The sequence below is a fragment of the Homo sapiens genome, chromosome 12 (genome assembly GCF_000001405.40).
Source record: "Homo sapiens chromosome 12, GRCh38.p14 Primary Assembly".
Taxonomy (NCBI): domain Eukaryota; kingdom Metazoa; phylum Chordata; class Mammalia; order Primates; family Hominidae; genus Homo; species Homo sapiens.
Genome location: NC_000012.12, coordinates 58,901,545 through 58,921,054, shown reverse-complemented (window position 1 = coordinate 58,921,054; position 19,510 = coordinate 58,901,545). Strand labels below are relative to the sequence as shown.

Below are 19,510 nucleotides of genomic sequence, written 5' to 3'. Positions count from 1 at the left end.
ATACACTTTCCAAAACCACGAGTTTTACGTTTTATTATTGTTTTTACTTTTGAAGCCGATGTATGGGGGAACACCCACCAGCATTAACGTTGAAAGAGCTGTTTTCATTGAAACCACTCTTTCATCTGTGGATGGTAGGATAATTTATCAGTGTCTTTAATTTGGAATTGAAAAGTTTCCTGAAAACACTGCTAATTAAACTTTACTTCCCTGAAGTTCTCCTAAATACCTCCAACTCCGAGAACTAGCCCAGTATTTGCTCACTTCCTTTTGCCTTTCAACTCCATTTGATATATGTTTCCCACGACGTAGTGGAGACTTCTGGCTGGAGAGGCTGGAAAATATAACTCTGAATTTCCTACAATCTCAGCTCCACTTTCTCCCGCGCGTAGGCCCCCGGCTGGAGCGGTGTTATTGTCACGTGGCCACGGGGACGCCCGCAGCCGAGTCGGCCAATGGGCGCGCGTCGGCCTCTACCCGCCCGCCTTGCTACTCCGCCGCGCGGGGACTTGGCGCAGTGCCGCGGGGTGGAGGCGAAAAAGTTTCTTTTGCAGACAAGAAGGGGCTTCGGCGAGCCGACGCTGCTCAAGCTGCAACTCTGTTGCAGTTGGCAGTTCTTTTCGGTTTCCCTCCTGCTGTTTGGGGGCATGAAAGGGCTTCGCCGCCGGGAGTAAAAGAAGGAATTGACCGGGCAGCGCGAGGGAGGAGCGCGCACGCGACCGCGAGGGCGGGCGTGCACCCTCGGCTGGAAGTTTGTGCCGGGCCCCGAGCGCGCGCCGGCTGGGAGCTTCGGGTAGAGACCTAGGCCGCTGGACCGCGATGAGCGCGCCGAGCCTCCGTGCGCGCGCCGCGGGGTTGGGGCTGCTGCTGTGCGCGGTGCTGGGGCGCGCTGGCCGGTCAGACAGCGGCGGTCGCGGGGAACTCGGGCAGCCCTCTGGGGTAGCCGCCGAGCGCCCATGCCCCACTACCTGCCGCTGCCTCGGGGACCTGCTGGACTGCAGTCGTAAGCGGCTAGCGCGTCTTCCCGAGCCACTCCCGTCCTGGGTCGCTCGGCTGTAAGTATTCTTCCCGCGGGGGGAGGGGGCCCGGGCCGCTGGAGATTCGAGAAAACAGGAGCCGGCGGGGAATGGGGTTCGGCGTGCAGTCCCCTTTTTGCCGTATAGCTCCTTCTGGCCCAGGCCGCGATCGGCGCTCCGTGGGCGTGGAAAAAGAACTGTCCGGGCCTCAGTTTCCCTCCCACGTGCTTTGCGGGCGGCGCAGGTGGGCTCTTGGCGCGTCCTAACTGGCTGCAGGTAGACCAGGGTTGGGGGCCAGTAACGACGCCAGAGATTGGGGATGAAGTCCTGCGCCCTAAGCTAGCCAAGGGGTTCAAATGCTTGCTCCTGCCAGGCCCAGGGGAGATAAGCGGCAACCTGCACACATCAGGAGTTTGCAGTTCTCGCTGAGTTATGAGTCTGGTTCAGTTTTAGTTTCTAGCTGCGTCAGACTCCTTTTCCTGTTCCCACCCAGTAACTGAAGTCAGGCTTTTCATTTGGGAAGCCCCCTCAACAGAATTCGGTCATTCTCCAAGTTATGGTGGACGTACTTCTGTTGTTCTCCCTCTGCTTGCTTTTTCACATTAGCAGACCGTAAGTTCCCACTCCTCAACCAGATTGTAAAGACTGGTCGGTAGCTATGGAAAGGGCGGAACTCGATTATCCAGAATCAAGGGCGTGATTTCTGTAGCTCCTCAGAACGCCCAGACGGTTTAGGGGAGAGCGCAGGGAGCTCTTATGCAAGTTTTTGGATTTTTAGCTGCGAAGTCTGAAAACCTGAAATCACTGCCAACTGCGTGAAGAACAAGGAAGAAAATGTAATTTAGTTGGAAATGCTGATCTTTTCCAAATGTCATCTCTTTTCTTCCTCAGTCCCAGTTTTAAAATTGGAGTGCTGTAAAAAGTAAACAATCAAAATTTGTATTTTTTAAAGTAGTTGTTCTGTTTAAAATAAAAGTGCACTTCATACGTAATCTTATATTTTGACTTAGCAGAATTGCAATGAAAATTTTAAGTTTTTAAAACAATTCTAGTGAACTATTCCAATGCCCTAATGTGGTAGGAGGTTTGGTCAGGTGTTTAAGAATTTATATTTTAAAATTATTGTGCTAATCTAAATAACTTTTGTGAATGTAGAATTGTTGGCCATCAGAAAGTATATTCCTTGTGTTTTTAATAAGCCTTAGTTTAATAAAGTAGAATTAGTATTGGATTGATATTTAATTTCTTGGGACGTTTTATTTAGTAGTTTTTATTGCAATTGGAAGAGGAGATAAGGTCTTTAACCGAAAGCAGGGAGACTTTCAATTAGTTGTGGCTAATTCTGTTAAATTGCCTCTTGTGGAGGTCATGCTGCCTTATTCATGAGTGAATGGCTCTATTGACAACATATGGAACTGAACATGTAAATGACTGGAGGTGAACACTTAGGAATAATAGAGGGATGAGAAAGAGAAAATGAATACAGTGCTTCCTGGAGTGTATTTAGATATGCTTAGATTATTCACGGCATCTAACTTGTATTCGATAGTTTTTCAATGTCAAGTTGTCTATTGTGATCATGCTAGTGTGCAGTACTTTTTTTCTTTTTTCCTGGATTTAGATGTTTAGAAAAAAAATCTGTGTTGCCCTTGATCAGAAGTTGAGTTGAACCAAAAGGGGTTCGATACCTATTTAAACATTGTCTTAAAAGTAGCTGACCTAATTAGGATTTTGTTTTGCAGATAATTTGGTGGCACACTAAAAACAAATTAGAGTTTATTTGGTTAGCACAGTCTTTAATTACATTTCCACCAGCAGTAAATTGTCTCAATACTAGCCCACATTCCTTAAATGTATGTGAAAATAAGTTCCACTTGTATAAATAAGCACTCAGTCTGTTGTCAGGAACCCTGCTGTGATCACTTATTGGACAGCTCTGTCATTCCTGTACTTCTGTGACTTTTAACCATCTTTGTAGGTGTCACCAAACCATGTGGTCTGGATTCTTTATTGTAAATATTTCTTTTGTTTGTACCTAAAGCTCTAGAGGTCTCCTCTTTCCACTTTTGAAAGGAGCAGAAAAACACGTGGAATTGAGTTTTACTTTCTCTGTTATTTGGTATTTTAGAATAGGTGGTCTAAAAAGCTACTAAAGTTTTTCGTAATTAGAAAAATCGTCTTAAGGAGATGATTTCCGAGTTCAGATATAAATAGAAAAATGCATGTTTTTGTTCCCCATATCTTACCTTCCCTTTCCTTGGGTAATCAAAATAGTAGGAGTTTGTCTTTGGACTGGCTTATGAAAGCACTTTTCAGAAAAAGTTCAGTGTCTATCTTTTGTTTCATTTGTTGAATTTGCAAGTTTAAGAAAAATTACGTGTGTATGTATTTTTTCCACTTTATTTGGTTGTGATTTATTACTATAGGAGTCCCATGTGTGAAAAGTCGAATAGTTTGAGCTGTAAAATAATAATACTGTATCAGTACTCCTTTTAGAAAATAACCTCTAATGCTTTAATGAAAGTGGCTCTTAAAGAGTAACTATGTGAGCGAGACTTTGTCTAAAAAAAAACAACCCAGTAACTACGCCAAGCCTTGCTCACAACTGCCATTAAAGGCAAGCTAGAGTTTATGTCAAGAGTTTGCGCTTAAACAGTTCTCAACCTAAAGAGGAATGCTTGTTAGAATGTTATTTAGCCCAGAGACGGAAAAGTTGCTAAATTGCCAATGAGAACTTCCAGTATTATTAAATTCTCACTGGCATTTCAGAATTATTTGTCTTATGTAGAAATGTTTGAGTTCTCAACAGGACCCAGGCGAAAGTCCCAAAGGTAGTTTCTGCTGGTGTGACTTCTTTAGTGTTGACCTGTTATAAATCTTATGGTCCGGACCACAGTTGGGGGTGGGGTGGGGGTAATAGTCCTTATGGTTTTCACAGCTGTTTTTCTGTATTTTCCAGACTAAAACTTGAATATAGCAGGCTGATTTATGAGTCACTTTGGATCAGTGTCTTAAAACAGCTATAGCCTGGCTTTTTGTTTTTCAGCTTTCCAGATTTGTGCTGAATTAGCAGCTCTGCAGGCCCCAGTGGGATTGCTTAAGAAGCTGTGCTGGATTTGCATTTAAAATTTGACTTGGAAGTCAGATTTCCAAATGCTAAAAGGAAGAAAATGACAGCTTGAACCAAATGTTGCAAATTGATTATTTTCATATATATTTATTCATTTGCTAATATTCAGGAAGAGAGAAGTCTGTCTAACCATATAGAAAGAGTTTGACTTTCAAGTGTTGGCCAGCTGAGCTCTGGGTACAGTTAACACTTCCGTACCTTACTACCTTTCCCATTCATTAACCCCACTACAAAAAGTTTTTGTAAAAGTTTTGTGGGGAAGATGCTATTAATGGAACTCTAAACATGAAGAATCTGCCTTTCTTATTGAATGTTTTATGATCTGGGTTTAAGAAAACATCGACGTTGTACAACTTGAATCTGTTTTTAATGGTCTAGCCATAAAAACAATGTAAGGAAGATTTAGGAAAATGTGACATCCCTTAACTGGAAAGTAATCATTTCTCAAATGTAAACTATATTAAATCTAAATTTAGGTACACTAAAAGTTTCATAGCTGTAAGTATTTAGCAGTAAATGTCATTTAAGGGGTGTTTTTTTTCCTCCTACATATAATGTAGTTTTAATAGTACACAAAACTCAAGAATGGAAATGTGTTGCAATAACTGAAATATTCAAAGTTTCAAGCTCCTGCTTCTGGATCAGAAATGAGGGGTCCCCAGCATGTGCACTGGTCTCTGAAGGGAGTTTCTTATTTTTTACAGGTCTTTTGTAGGAGGAATCTTATCCCATTACTAGTTGAAAAAAGTTAAGCACTCCGTCTCATTTCTCTCACAGGATTGCCCTGTGAAATAATCCTTAAAATGAAGTTAATCCTCAGTTTTAGTGTTTTTTTATTTTTAATTAAAAAGAGAATCACCTGTGTTAAATATTAATGCCAGATTGCTTCCCCTTTCTTTTTAAGACCTGAAACAATAGGGGATGCAGTTTTACGCTGGCTCAATGCTCTTTAGTTAAGTGGGTCCAAATGAGACTTTCTGTTGACTCAGGCTACCTCCCAGGTGAAAGACTCTTTTCCTTGGTTGTTTTTTAAACCATGTGGGAAATCTGTGACTGTCTGGGGTGCTAAAAGCACACAGGTTTTGTTTGAATCCTAACGTGAGTTGTTGGGCTCACGGTTTCCTTGATGAACTCCAGATGGACTTGAGCTGGGCTGCAAGGGAAAGTGTCTGGCTCCAGCCAGCGTGGTGAGCATGCACAGCAGTGGTTGTAATTGCAGGATTTTTATAGTTTAAAGACTGTGCCAGATTTTTTTCATGTTATAACTCTACCAGAACAAATCTACTCATGTCTGTCACTGTCTGGTAGGTCTTTGGGCAAACATACTTCAAATAAAACCTTGCAGATTTTTTTTTTTAGGTGAAAAAGAGAATCCAGGTTTATTCTCAAAACAGAAACTCAAAGACTGAAAGGAACTCTGATTTCTAATTGTTAACTAAACACTGAGTAACACTGTGCTTCTCTGGAGGTGATTTCTCTTTATTTATTTTTTAGGAGGGGTGTACTTATGCATATAACAAATAATTCATGCTTTTCTCCAATCAACTTTGGTTATTTAAAAAACTCCGTTTTAAACACCAAAAAAATTAGTATGGGTTGGATAACCCTTTCAGTGGGAAGCTTCAAGCCATACTATTTGTTATCCCGGTTTTTCATCACTCTGGAACCATTTCATTTTTATTACACTATTTTGAAGGCACATAGTCAATGTGTTAACACATATGGGGAATATAACCAAGAATATTTGCTGGAATTTGTTCCATATTTTGAATCTTAAATGAGATGACTTTCTAGCCTAGAGTATTGTATATGTATGAGTTTGTTATTGTTTTTAATAGTAATGATGTTCTATGGAAATTGTTACTAAGTTAAATTGAGTTATTGAGTAAGAAGCACATTTATTTTAATGATTGAAATCTGTTCACAAGTTTTTGTGCAATCTGCTGAACTTTGTTAGATGGCGATGTGGTTTAAATTTTATATTATCAGATATTGATATTTGGGGAATTTAAGAAAGCAGAGGGTTCAGATTGTTTTCTACCCTCTCAACACTCACACACAAAATAATGCTTTAAATGATTTGGTGCTTTAACGCAGAGAAACAAATATGTATGCAAAGCAATTTCTGTTTTCCTTGACTGCAATAAGGACATTGATGCTTAAATGTATGACAATAAAAAGATTTCTATAGAGGCTTTAGTTTCAGCAACCTGCCTAATTAGCTCCTTTTCTTAAACCATGATGTCATCATATCAGGTTAGGAGTGGGGAGATGGGAGGGTGAAGCAGACCTGCCAGTTCACAAAAGATCTGTTCACCACGTGCCAAAAAAACATCTCTTAAAACATTTGTGGGCTTAAAGTATTTGAATCTGCCAGTCTCCCTAAACTAATTTTGTCCTTGGAGCTTGTATTTTTGAGTTTGGCATTTTGGTTGCCATCTAGTTTGTGGACAGAATAGACCAATTATTTCTCCTGCTCTCACTGGTGTTCATAGAGATACTTCATAAGCCCAGTTAGCACTATTAGTGATTTTTAGAAATGACTTATAATTTTATTTTTGTTTTCTTATAGGGACTTAAGTCACAACAGATTATCTTTCATCAAGGCAAGTTCCATGAGCCACCTTCAAAGCCTTCGAGAAGTGTGAGTCTTCGTTATTTTGTTTTTAAGGTTTGAGTAAAATACGTTACCCCTTATACTATTTAACCGTAAGGAATACTTGGATTATAGTGAGTTATTCAAAACTTTTAACTTGGGTGGTATCTTGAAATAATATGTAAAGTTTTCACCTCTGTGAATTACAGATTACCTAATCAGCTTTTCTTTTTCTTTTTTTTTTTGGCATTTGTAGGAAACTGAACAACAATGAATTGGAGACCATTCCAAATCTGGGACCAGTCTCGGCAAATATTACACTTCTCTCCTTGTAAGTGAATATCAGCAGAATTCCTCATGTATGTTTGCAGGAACCTTGAGTGGGAGTTCCATAGGGACTAGCATAGAGATCTTAGAAGAAAAAAATGGAATATTTTTTTCAGGGCATAGTAAAGATACGCGCTTTAAATTGGTTAACTTGTTTTCTAGCCTCTAACTCTCTCACTGCTAAATTTCATGTATTCTTATAACAACACACTTTACACTTTGCTGTTGTTGCCGAACTGGTCTTCGAGATTCAAAGAGGCCAGCTTTACACCATAGAAATGTGTATTTTATCGTATTCTGTAGACTAGGACTTTAATTTTAGTATCGCTCAATGGTTGGCATGGGGATCTGTGGGTTATGTATTACGTAGTTCCTAGTGGAGAATGATCAGAGTTGCTTTGTGAGGAGAAACCGGAGTTGAGAATAAGCCATTGGAGTATCCTGTTTTAAGTGTGGTACCTGCAGTGTAAATCAGAGTTCAGAGACATCAACTCAAAAAAAGTAAATATGTGACTGAAGACAGAAATAACTTTGCAGGTTGTTTTGCAAATATGAGTTTTCAAATACAATTAAGGTTGTACCAAGTTTTCTGTATTTTTAGTGTAGGTAACGTTGTATATACATGCACTGACGTAGGTTTTGGAATAATTCTGACTTTCAGCATTTAAAGGTAGCATTTAGAATGCCTGTGGTTTAATTTCTAAAATCTAATTAGCTTACCACCTTAATCTTAAATAATTTAAAAATATATTTAAGCTACTGATGTTAAAAAATGTTTTTCTTTAAGCAACTTAAGGAAAAAACCACCATTGTTAGTTGCTTCTGAGAGAGGTGTTGGGAGGGTTGAAATTATACAGTAAATTTCAGGAAAGCTGTTCAATTAATAGAGTGATCACTACCCAATTGCTTACATCTGGTGATTTATAGAGGTTTGTTTTTACTGAGGGCCCAGGTCAGCTAAGTCACGGGTGCAGCCGCTGTGTCTGCTTTCCTCTGTTTGAATAAGAGCTAAGTGACATTTGATACTGATGTGGTTTTTCCAAAGATCAGAAACAGAAAGGAGTGAAAGAAAAAGCAGTCGGTATTTGACAAATAAACACTGTATTTAAAAAACATTTTTATGCTAGCATAAATACCTTTTTTCTTTGTCTTTTACAATTGCTTAAAATTTTAGAATCTAAATGGAGTGCTGGTTTTGGTATCGTAAACATCTGCAGCTATTCTTGTTTGACCAAGGTGGCCTTTTTAAATTCCACTTTGCTCTTGCTGTCCTCGCACTGCATATTGGCAGATTCTGTCAGTATGTTTAAGAGAGCTTGAGGGTCATGGCATACTTCATGGCTGAGAGGATCTGCAGTGCAGTTTTGTAATCTGGGCAGCATGGGGAAAGCAGTCTACTCTTTGGCATGGTATAGCGTTGAGAGCATTAAGAACTTGTGAGGAAGTTAGAAAATTATAAGTAACCTAGTGTTTTATACTTTTTTTTTTTTGAGACAGAGTCTTGCTCTGTTGCCCAGGCTGGAGTGCAGTGGCACGATCTTGGCTCACTGTAAGCTCCGCCTCCTGGGTTCACACCATTCTCCTGCCTCAGCCTCCCAAGTAGCTGGGACTACAGGCGTCCGCCACTACGCCCGGCTAGTTTTTTGTATTTTTAGTAGAGAGGGGGTTTCACCGTGTTAGCCAGGATGGTCTCGATCTCCTGACCTCGTAATCCTCCCGCCTCGGCCTCCCAAAGTGTTGGGATTGCAGGTGTGAGCCACTGCGCCCAGCCCCTAGTGTTTTACACTTTAACGTTATAACTTATAATTAGAAAGCTACAATGATCTCTCAAAAGTTAGAAATTTGTGCTCCTTTAAAATTTGTCCTCTTCTCCATATTGTTTTTGTGTTTCACTTTAGCAAGTGCTGGGTGTGAAATCACCCTGAATAATTTCACTTTCTTTCTCCTTAATGTGTTACAATACCTCTGGCCAGTGATTGCTTTGTTCGTCTCACATAATGATACATCCAATGTGTTACCTAGATTACATAGACTCTGCGAAGAGTAATTTATATCATGGGCCTGATAATTCAATGTGGAGAGTAAAAACTTCTTTTTATACCTATGAAATATCTTGAAAAATTTACCTCTCTGGTTGTTTTCATCTACGAATGTTTTGTTTCCTCCTGCAGGCTTGATTGGATATTGTAATATACAATTATTGTTTCTCAAGCACTTTTAATTTGTGTTGTGTAGAGTAAAACATTTTCTTTTATATAAAAACACTTGAAAATAAAGCTAAAAATGAGTTCTTAAATGCTTTTCTGAGATTAAAAAAAATCTGTTAAGTTATATAACATGACACAGATTGAAAACTTGCTGTAGCGTCACAATTAAATCTCATATCTTTCAAAGTAGTTTTTAGAATGATTTGACTTTCATATTAAGAGTTTTTTGTGGTTGTTTTTTGTTTGTATCTTTTACATTTTGCAGAGGAAAACATTTTTATGAGTTATTTGCACAGGTTAAATAGTTTGAAAGCTTGTGTGTAAAGAAAATGAGTAATTAGTTGAAGTCTTAACCATAGGATTTAATATTACTGCTCCATACTCTTTCTACTCTGTGCCATGAAGACCCCTCCCAGCTGGAGGGGCTGCATGCAGAGAAGACTGTCCTGGTGAGACTTTTGTCTTCTCTTAGCTATAGGAGCCAGGAGCTGATAATTAGATCAAAGGGTACCGCATGTCCAGAGACAAATTCAGTTAGGGACCTATTCTCATAATATCAGGGAATCTGGGATGATAGGAATCTGCGATAATCTTCCCACTAACAAAGCTCATCTCTAACCTTTTTAGCATGCACAAGGCCTGAATAGACATGCTTTCCTTTGAATCCCACACAGAACTAGCTCAGAAGTCAACCAGTGTGCTAGGTGCAAGGCATGATTTGTATGTTTTTTAAATTTTTCTCTCACAATATCCTAGCTATTGCAGGATGACATATTTTAAAGAAGTGGAATAGTCTTTGGAATGAACATATCTTACAGTAAAACTCTATTGACCTGGCTTACATGAGGGAGTTGATTTTTCTGAATGTATGAACTCTGGCTTTGCGTGGTGTGGAATGACCTGCTCGAGCATTGGACATGATTGAAATCTGTGCCTTGGGTTAGGGAAGTTTGAATCTGTGAGTTCTACAGCATTGTAGTTGAACAAAAGAGCCTTGTTGGTTATTAAACGGAGCTAGTTGGGTCTTAGTCTTGATGCTAATGGTTTATATAGTGTTACCCAGCATGCAGATGCTTGCCTGGTGTCCTAGAGTTGAAGAATGTTAGGTCAGTGACTGTCAAAGAGGCACCTAGGGTACTTGTTTTTTTTGTTTTTGTTTTTGTTTTTTTTTGAGACGGAGTCTCGCAGTGTCACCCAGGCTGGAGTGCAGTGGCTCAATCTCAGCTCACTGCAAGCTCCGCTGCCCGGGTTCATGCCGTTCTCTTGCCTCAGCCTCCCCAGCAGCTGGGACTACAGGCGCATGCTGCCACGCCCAGTTAATTTTTGTATTTTTAGTAGAGATGGGGTTTCACCGTGTTAGCCAGGACGGTCTCGATCTCCTGACCTCATGATCCGCCCGCCTCAGCCTCCCAGAATGCTGGGATTAAAGGCGTGAGCCACCGCGCCCTGCCAGGGTGCTGGTTAGATTATCAGACACTATCCCTAGAGATTCTAAATTAGTAGATTTGGGTGGGGCCCAGGAGTATCCATTTTAACATATGCAATATTCTTATCAGATATTGCATAAATATTTCTAGAATTACTGATAAAGGTCATATCATAATCAACTAAGCCTTTTCTCTTTATTTCTTATCTCAAAAGTAAAGCATTTCTTAGTCCATCATTGTCTTTATAGCCTGTCATCTTCCCAGAGGTGACATTGTCATCATTCCAGAGAGGTTATTATATATATTGATTACCTTTGCTGGTAGGACACCGAAACATGTACTCTACCAATGGAAAGCCATTGAAGAGACGTAAAGCAGAATGACATGATCAGAGCTGCTATTTGAAAATGTCATACTGTCTTTAGTGTGGCAAATGACTTGGAGGTGGCAGGAGGATGGTTTAGAGGGGCAGATAATTAAACCACATGATGGCTGAGAAGCCATGGTGGCCTGTTCTTCAGTGAAGTCACGTCAGTAGAACAGTGATTAAAAGTAAAGCTCAAGTCAGGTGGCCTGGAATTAACTTTTGGCTCCACCCTTTGCCAGGTTTGTAACCTTGGGCAAGTTACTGACTGACTGTGTCAGTCATCTCTAAAATGAGAATAATGCTGATGTCTATCTCATAGAGTTATTGTGAAGATACAGGGAATACAGGTAAAGCTGTCTTGCATGTACTGAGTGCTCAGTGAATGTGAGCTGTGATAAGGATGACGATTCATTCAACTACAATGTTTTGAGTATCTACTATGTACCAAGCCCTCTTTTAAGTGCTAGGACACCCAGTGAAAAAGCATACAAACTCCCTCTTATCCTGACGCCTGAGGCTTCCATTCTAGTGAGGAGAGAAAAATAAATGAAGAAAAGAAAAGATAACATCAGTTCATGATCAATGCTATGAAGAGAAAGAAAGGAGAATGAAGGGATTAGAGAGCTCTGGCAATTGTTCTTTAATGTAGTCAGGAAAGGCACATATTTACCAAATCCTACTATGTTCTGGGTACTGTTCTAAGATTAGGATTCAGAAAGCAGACAGGAATCCCTGCCCTCTATAGCTGACCTGCTCATGGAAGGAGAAACACAAAAAATAAATAAGAGATGTGATCAGAAGGGGATTAAGTCCTGGAGAGAAGCAGCAGGGAAGAGGTGTCGGAAGCATGTGGCCAAAGAGGGGTTTTACAGTTTTAAATGGGGATGTAGAGAAAGGCTTGCCAGGAGGAAGATACTTGAATCAGGGACTGAAAGTGAGGGAGGGAGTTGTGTGTGTTTCTGGGGACATTGAGTCATCTCTGCTGAGCCTGCCCTGCCACATTCAGGCCCATCTTACCTTGTATATCCAACTTACGCAGTAATTAAATAATTTTGTTTATATTTTTATCCTCTGCTGTATTTTGAGGCCTCTGTAGCTAACTCTTCTTTTCCTCAGCACTTAATGCAGGTATATGGCATAAGTTAGTGCTTAATTAATGTATGAATTACATTATCTATGAATGTATGAATTAAAGAATATTCATGGAATAACCACATGCTGCTGCACTTAGCGTAATTCAGACAGATCTCCTTCTATACACTTAGTTTAAACCAGTGGCTAAAGATTTACAGTGGCAACAGCATACCTACGTTTTACATAACTTGTGTTCAACTATGCATGCTTGAGAAAATAATAATAATTCTGACAATAGCAGCAATAATTAAAAGTAAAAAAAGAACAAGAGAAGTCACTTAACACAAGGATTCAGCTGACCACCCTAGCTGGTGAGTGTATGCCCTGGAGTATGTATGAGGTGGGAAATAAAAGCCCCCTTTCCCATATGCCTTTCTAAGCATGAATATCTCAGCCCACTGAGGGTGACTTTGGTGTTCAGGCATACAGCTTTTTCACGGCCCCTGTGCCCTTCACATTTCTGAACTACTTTGACAGGCCCTGAACTAAAAATTTAAAATGCACAACAGTGACAAAACCCTCCTCTTTCCACACTGATCTCTTCCCACACTGAAGGAAAACTGCCCATGTTAGATTCATTGAGAGGGGAAGACTGTCTACATAAAGTACCTTGCTGGTGTCATAAGAGATCTTCAAGGGTGTGTTGATGATACATGGTTTTCCGCCATCTGCTGGCTTGGAACCTAATGCCGCGAGATGTGGTTCCATCACATCATGCATCCTTCTGTATTGGAGATGCTTTGGGGATGCAGGAAATTAGGACAGTCATGCCCATTGCTGTGCTACAGAGATCAATACTGGGTGGTAGGGAGTATTGGCAATTTGTATGTCATTAACTATAGTTATTGTAGAATCCCAAGGATGGCGATTTTTCTTTTCCAGTTTTGAAGCTTTCACAAGCACAGCATGTGTAGTCTCTAATGACATGGTCACACATCTCCTTCCAGGGTCCAACTTTTATCTTAGCGAGCTCTCAATCCCCTCAGCCCACTACAGTCTCAGACACACAGAAGGTGCTCACTAAGAATCGAGTAGACAAGAGAAATCACGGGCCCTTGTGCATTAGAAGAGAGCCCTGAGCTGGGAATTGGACTCACAGATGCACAGGTTTTCGTCTCGTCTCACACTACTAACCTGTCTGACCTTAGACAGACTTAATTAACTTTTCTTTGTTTATCTGTGAAAACAGTCTAAGATGTCTGCCCATCTCTCTCCTGGGGTTCCGGTAAAGGATCAAATGGCATAATGTACATGAAAGAGTTCTGAAAATGTGAGCGCCAGCAGCTGCTGCTTTTGCATTGTGGTGGGCTTGGCAGAGGAGCAGAGACTGGAGGCAGTGGGCCAAAGTGGATTCTTGAATGGGAGGGTCACAGGAGGAATGCAGGATTTAGAAACATTATCCTGGCAGCAAGAGATGAGGGAAGGAAAAACCATTTTGCATTGGGGGTGAATTTTCAGGAAAACTTCTCTCTTCATGGTTCCTAATAATTTTGGTGGGTACTCAATTATAAATAACAACAATATTTGTAGCCTGAGGGCTTTTGTATCTATAAGGTGAATTTCAAGCTCTTCAGAATGCCCAGCAACAATGCCTACTGTGTGCTAAGTGCTAGGGAACAAGGAAAAATAGGATTTGGCCTCCACTTTCAAGGTGCTCTGAACAAGAGAGAAGACAGACGGTAAAGACATAGCACACGTGGAGTGTGCCTGGGACAGTGGAAGATGCCTGGGCATGTACCAGCACATAGGTTTCAGGATGTGTGGAGCGTGAGGGGAAGTGAGGTGGAGAAGGAAGGAAACTTGTGTGAGTTTGCAGGGATCAGCTCAGGAAGCTTCTTCCATGCTTAGGTGGTTTGCATGTTTGGGGAGTCTTCATTGAAGACTTTTTTTTTTTTTTTTAAGCAGGGGAATAAAATGACTACAGTTAAGCAAAGAATCTACTTTTCTCCTTGTGTTTGATAGTACTAAAGGTCATTTCATTTTCATTCATTAAAGTCATTTAATTTTTAAAATCAAGTGGATAAAAACAAATAAATGTGGCTTTGATAATAATTTTGACTTGCCAAATGCCTCTTTTCCATTGACCCCTGGAGCTGTTCAGTGTTGTGAGCCCTACCATGTGTTAGGGCCACATCTCTTTTTCTCACAAAGGGAAACTGGCCACGAGGTGGGAGTCATAGGAGCGTTGGCTTATGAATGATGAATAGGGTAGAGTTGGCCATAGTGATCACAAATCAGATCTGCAATATTCTGCTATTTATATACTGAACCCAGCATCATATTAAGTGAGAATTTCATTCATAAGCGTGCATTTCTCATTACATTCCAAAAATCAGACCATGAAAAAAACAGCTTTGGGAAACATTTGAGAGACTGTTGCTTGAGTACATGGCACAGAGTTTATTTAATTCATCAAACTCAACATATAACTTTAAAGTAATATTGATATTTTAATATGCTCTGAATTCAGAGGTAAAGTTGCAAAGAGGGAAGGCAAGCATTAAATGTGTTTTCAAGTGAGGGTATCTCTTAGTAACGTGCAGTAGACCGCAAATAGTTGCTACCTTTTTTAAAAAAAGGGAACTTTTATAACTCAGTATTTGAAAAGTGGTCATCAGTTTTTCATATTAATTATGGAAGTTGAGGAGCAGCTTTAGCCACAGTTAGAACTTAAGTTTCTGGGGAAATTGGAGAGTTTTGTTTTTATTAAGTGGACAGAAACCATATCCCATCCTTATACTCTGATCTGAGTATAGAGAAACCCATGGAATTTGACATCTTTACTGCCAAATTTATCTAGGACGTGTGCTCTCCTGATGCAGATGAATGGGCTGTTTGCTTCACATGTAAAGGACATCATTTTATTAGAGGTTGTCCTAGTTCATTTTCTGTGCTTATAACAGAATACCTGAAACCTATGCAGAAAGCTATACAGAATACCTATAGAGTCTTTAATTTATGAAGAAAAGGAATTTATTTCTTATTGTGGAGGCTGAGAAGTCCAAGGTTGATGGGCCTCATTTGGGGAACCTTTTTGCTGGTGGGGACTCTGCAGAATCCCTAAGCCGGTGTAGGGCATCTTGTGTCAAGGGGGCCTGAACACGATAGCTCAGGTGTCTCTTCCTCTTATAAAGCTACCAGTCTCACTCCCATGATAGCTCATTAATCTATTAAACCATTAATTCATCAGTAGACTAATCCATTCACGAGGGTAGAGCCCTCATGACGCAATCACCTCTTAAAGGGCCTATCGGTACGACCACATTGAACATTACATTTCAACGTGAGTTTTGGAGAGGACACATGTTAAAACCACAGCAGGGGACTGCAGCCTTCACCAGTACATACAAACCAGATATTACGTTTAGTGGAAATAAACTTATGCAGCTCAAGTCTTACAAAATAAACACATAAACGTCTTAATATGATAAGTTGTAATCTTTTATTGGATTTTAAATGTTTATAGATGACTTACACATAAAAGAGAGTTTACTATACACAGAGCTGTATTTGTGACAAACACTGTAAGTTTATCTTCACATTTAAATATAAACTGGCCCCCAGAATTCAAGGTTGCTAGGTTTTTGAATTCTCAATTTAGAATGACTGTATTTGACACATAAATTTGTAATTGCTGCATGATTCCTTAAACCCTTCAACAGTTCCCATTGCTCTGAGGTGAAGAAAAAAATCCTTCTCAAGACGTACAATGCTCTGCATGATCTGCATCCTGTTGGCCCATTGAGCAGTCTCTGGAGTCACTCCTCAGTTCTCCAGATGTGCCAGGTTGTTCCAGCCCTGTGTTCTTTTGCATACGTATTTCCCACTGCCTAGAATACTCACCCTGCCTGCACTGTTTAAATCAGACTCTTAGGTTTCCCCTTATACATTTTTATATCTTCTTTATTATAATGTCTACTTTATCATCATATAAGTAATTGTATTTTTTACTCATCTATTTGTTATTCTTTTAAAAGAAGTTTCCCCCACCAAAATGAAATTTTACAGCAGCTGAGATCATGTCTTTTATTTTCTCCATTGCAACCCTGGCATGTAGCATAGTGCCTGGCCCATGGTGGATGCTCAGTACATGTGTGTTGGATGAATGAATGGATGGCTTAGTCCAGATTAATATATATGGGTAACTTTTCTGTTCCTGTGTCTCCATTGTTTTCCTTAATAAGACTTGTTTTTTCCAAGGTAATGACAATTTTAGATTTGACAATGACCCATTTTGGGCAACCTTTCTGTGGTGTTTCTTGAAGCCCGTAAAATTCATTCCCACCTGCATGACTTGACTTTTCAGTATAGCTTGCCACAAAAACTCTTGTATTACCGATACTTATCCTGAACCCACACTATTCCCTCATGCCCTCTCTCACCTTCATTCTAGTAATAGCCATTTCAGTTGGTGCTTTAAAGTATCAGGTACAGCTTCTACCAAGAGACTTCTCTGTGCCAAAAGGAGACTTGTTCTACCAAGAGAGACAAGACAATAAAGCTACAGCCAGTTTCTTTTCATGACTGGGATGGCAAGATTCAACATGTGTCTCTCTCCTGGCCTAGTTATTTTTCCCCCTTCTCTTCCTTATTTTGGTTTCTCAGTTGTCTTCTATAGGGCAGAGGTTCAGGGTCCTCGTTTGATGGAGACCAAAGAAATGAAACAGAGCTCTAGCAGTACCACCTCCTCTCTCTTTGGCTGAAAGTTGCTTAAGTACTAAATTTAAAACATGAAAGAAAAGGCAATTCTTCACAGAATTGGAAAAAACTACTTTAAAGTTCATATGGAACCAAAAAAGAGCCCGCATCGCCAAGTCAATCCTAAGCCAAAAGAACAAAGCTGGAGGCATCATGCTACCTGACTTCAAACTATACTACAAGGCTACAGTCACCAAAACAGCATGGTACTGGTACCAAAACAGAGATATAGATCAATGGAACAGAACAGAGCCCTCAGAAATAACGCCGCATATCTACAACTATCTGATCTTGGACAAACCTGAGAAAAACAAGCAATGGGGAAAGGATTCCCTATTTAATAAATGCTGCTGGGAAAACTGGCTAGCCATATGTAGAAAGCTGAAACTGGATCCCTTCCTTACACCTTATACAAAAATTAATTCAAGATGGATTAAAGACTTAAACATTAGACCTAAAACCATAAAAACCCTAGAAGAAAACCTAGGCATTACCATTCAGGACATAGGCATGGGCAAGGACTTCATGTCCAAAACACCAAAAGCAATGGCAACAAAAGACAAAATTGACAAATGGGATCTAATTAAACTAAAGAGCTTCTGCACAGCAAAAGAAACTACCATCAGAGTGAACAGGCAACCTGCAAAATGGGAGAAAATTTTTGCAACCTACTCATCTGACAAAGGGCTAATATCCAGAATCCACAATGAACTCAAACAAATTTACAAGAAAAAAACAACCCCATCAAAAAGTGGGCAAAGGATATGAACAGACACTTCTCAAAAGAAGACATTTATGCAGCCAAAAGACATGAAAAAATGCTCATCATCACTGGCCATCAGAGAAATGCAAATCAAAACCACAATGAGATACCATCTCACACCAGTTAGAATGGCGATCATTAAAAGGTCAGGAAACAACAGGTGCTGGAGAGGATGTGGAGAAATAGGAACACTTTTACACTGTTGGTGGGACTGTAAACTAGTTCAACTCTAGTGGAAGTCAGTGTGGCCATTCCTCAGGGATCTAGAACTAGAAATACCATTTGACCCAGCCATCCCATTACTGGGTATATACCCAAAGGACTATAAATCATGCTGCTATAAAGACACATGCACACATAATGTTTATTGCGGCACTATTCACAAAAGCAAAGACTTGGAACCAACCCAAGTGTCCAACAATGATAGACTGGATTAAGAAAATGTGGCACATATACACCATGGAATACTATGCAGCCATAAAAAGGGATGAGTTCATGTCCTTTGTAGGGACATGGATGAAATTGGAAATCATCATTCTCAGTAAACTATCACAAGGATGAAAAACCAAACACTGCATGTTCTCACTCATAGATGGGAATTGAACAATGAGAACACATGGACACAGGAAGGGGAACATCACACTCTGGGGACTGTTGTGGGGTGGGGGGAGGGAGGAGGGATAGCATTAGGAGATATAACTAATGCTAAATGACGAGTTAATGGGTGCAGCACACCAGCATGGCACATGTATATATATGTAGCCTGCACATTGTGCACATGTACCCTAAAACTTAAAGTATTATAATAATGAAAAAATAAAAAAAAGAGAAAAGGCAATTATAAATATAAACACCTGCTTTCTAATACTTAAAATCACCTGCCTGCCATCTCCCTGTCTCTCATATAGCTTTATTGAGCAGATAGAGCAGTCTCTAGAGTGAGGTGGAAGGCAAAATGAAATATTAAGGTAACATTCATGCTGCAGGTACCATACAGGGTAGGATAAACATAGTAGACATTCTCCGACTGTCATTTTTAGTGTGCATGAGCAATTTTAACCATTTTTAAAATAAGAAATTATGATATAGAATCAAAATGAGCATTTTTTTTACATTTTTTTTTTAAGAATAAGATGCTTTTGAATTGAGTCACATCGCTTTGTGATCCCACACAAAGTATCGACCTAGGATAGAGGACAGTACTCTTCAAAGATGAATGGATGTTTACAGACTCAGGGAAGTAGTCAATTAATTGTATAAATCTCTCTTTCTCTTATTCTCCTCTGGCCTTTCCTGTCTTAATTTCCTCAGTACAGTTGCCATGTAAATTTCAAAGAAAAAGTGAAAGGAGTTAGGAACAGCTTGCTATATTATATTATATAACTGGTTATAACCCATTTGTTGATAGTTTAGTGCGTTGTTGCATAATTCTAGCAACTTGGAATCAGAAGAGATATTTTTCTCTGTAGAGAAATCCCTGGAAGGGTGGTTGTCTGACTGCCCTCTCCTTAATCACTTCTAAGAACGAAAGCTCATTCTTGGTGAGCAGCCTTTCCGTAGTGACTAATTCTAATTGCTAGGTCTTGTTATACGTTAAGCAGAGGTCTACCCTTCAGCAGCTTCTACCTGTTGTCGTTCTGTGTGCTAGAGAGAGCAGTTCTCTTTTCTGCATAATTCTTGTGAGTCTTAAAATATGAGATTTTCTTAAAGCATTCCCTTCTCCTGGGTTAAATTCTCATTCCCATTTCTTGTATGACATGGGGTATAGACAAGTGCTGTCCAATGGCACTTTCTGCAGTGATGGAAATGTTCTGTATCTGTGCTGTACCCGGTGGTAGCCACTAG

The 19,510-nt window shown here is 40.0% G+C and overlaps 1 protein-coding gene and 1 long non-coding RNA gene across 4 annotated transcripts in view, besides 3 other annotated features; one reads left to right on the top strand and one right to left on the bottom strand.

Annotated features, from left to right (window-relative positions):
* LRIG3-DT (LRIG3 divergent transcript) overlaps nucleotides 1–351 on the bottom strand; it is a 210,172-nt gene extending 209,821 nt beyond the window's left edge. The window contains exon 1 of the long non-coding RNA NR_183518.1: nucleotides 265–351. This is a non-coding gene — a long non-coding RNA (LRIG3 divergent transcript). The remainder of the gene's footprint in view (nucleotides 1–264) is intronic.
* Nucleotides 395–504: a silencer, noted in NCBI's record as "silent region_4601". NCBI's record gives its function as "represses an Ori minimal core promoter by ATAC-STARR-seq in GM12878 lymphoblastoid cells {active_cell/tissue: GM12878}" and the evidence as "EXISTENCE:reporter gene assay evidence [ECO:0000049][PMID:35858748]".
* LRIG3 (leucine rich repeats and immunoglobulin like domains 3) overlaps nucleotides 551–19,510 on the top strand; it is a 48,350-nt gene continuing 29,390 nt past the window's right edge. For 2 of the 3 annotated variants that reach the window (NM_153377.5, XM_017018790.3), the window contains exons 1-3: nucleotides 551–1,055; nucleotides 6,719–6,790; nucleotides 6,999–7,073. In NM_153377.5, the coding sequence (NP_700356.2) occupies nucleotides 820–1,055; nucleotides 6,719–6,790; nucleotides 6,999–7,073 (383 nt within the window). In that variant the 5' untranslated portion in view covers nucleotides 551–819. Of the gene's footprint in view, nucleotides 1,056–1,549; nucleotides 1,629–6,718; nucleotides 6,791–6,998; nucleotides 7,074–19,510 lie in introns of those variants that run through there. The other variant, NM_001136051.3, reaches the window with a different exon arrangement.
* Nucleotides 925–1,004: a silencer, noted in NCBI's record as "silent region_4600". NCBI's record gives its function as "represses an Ori minimal core promoter by ATAC-STARR-seq in GM12878 lymphoblastoid cells {active_cell/tissue: GM12878}" and the evidence as "EXISTENCE:reporter gene assay evidence [ECO:0000049][PMID:35858748]".
* Nucleotides 1,385–1,654: an enhancer, noted in NCBI's record as "active region_6570". NCBI's record gives its function as "activates an Ori minimal core promoter by ATAC-STARR-seq in GM12878 lymphoblastoid cells {active_cell/tissue: GM12878}" and the evidence as "EXISTENCE:reporter gene assay evidence [ECO:0000049][PMID:35858748]".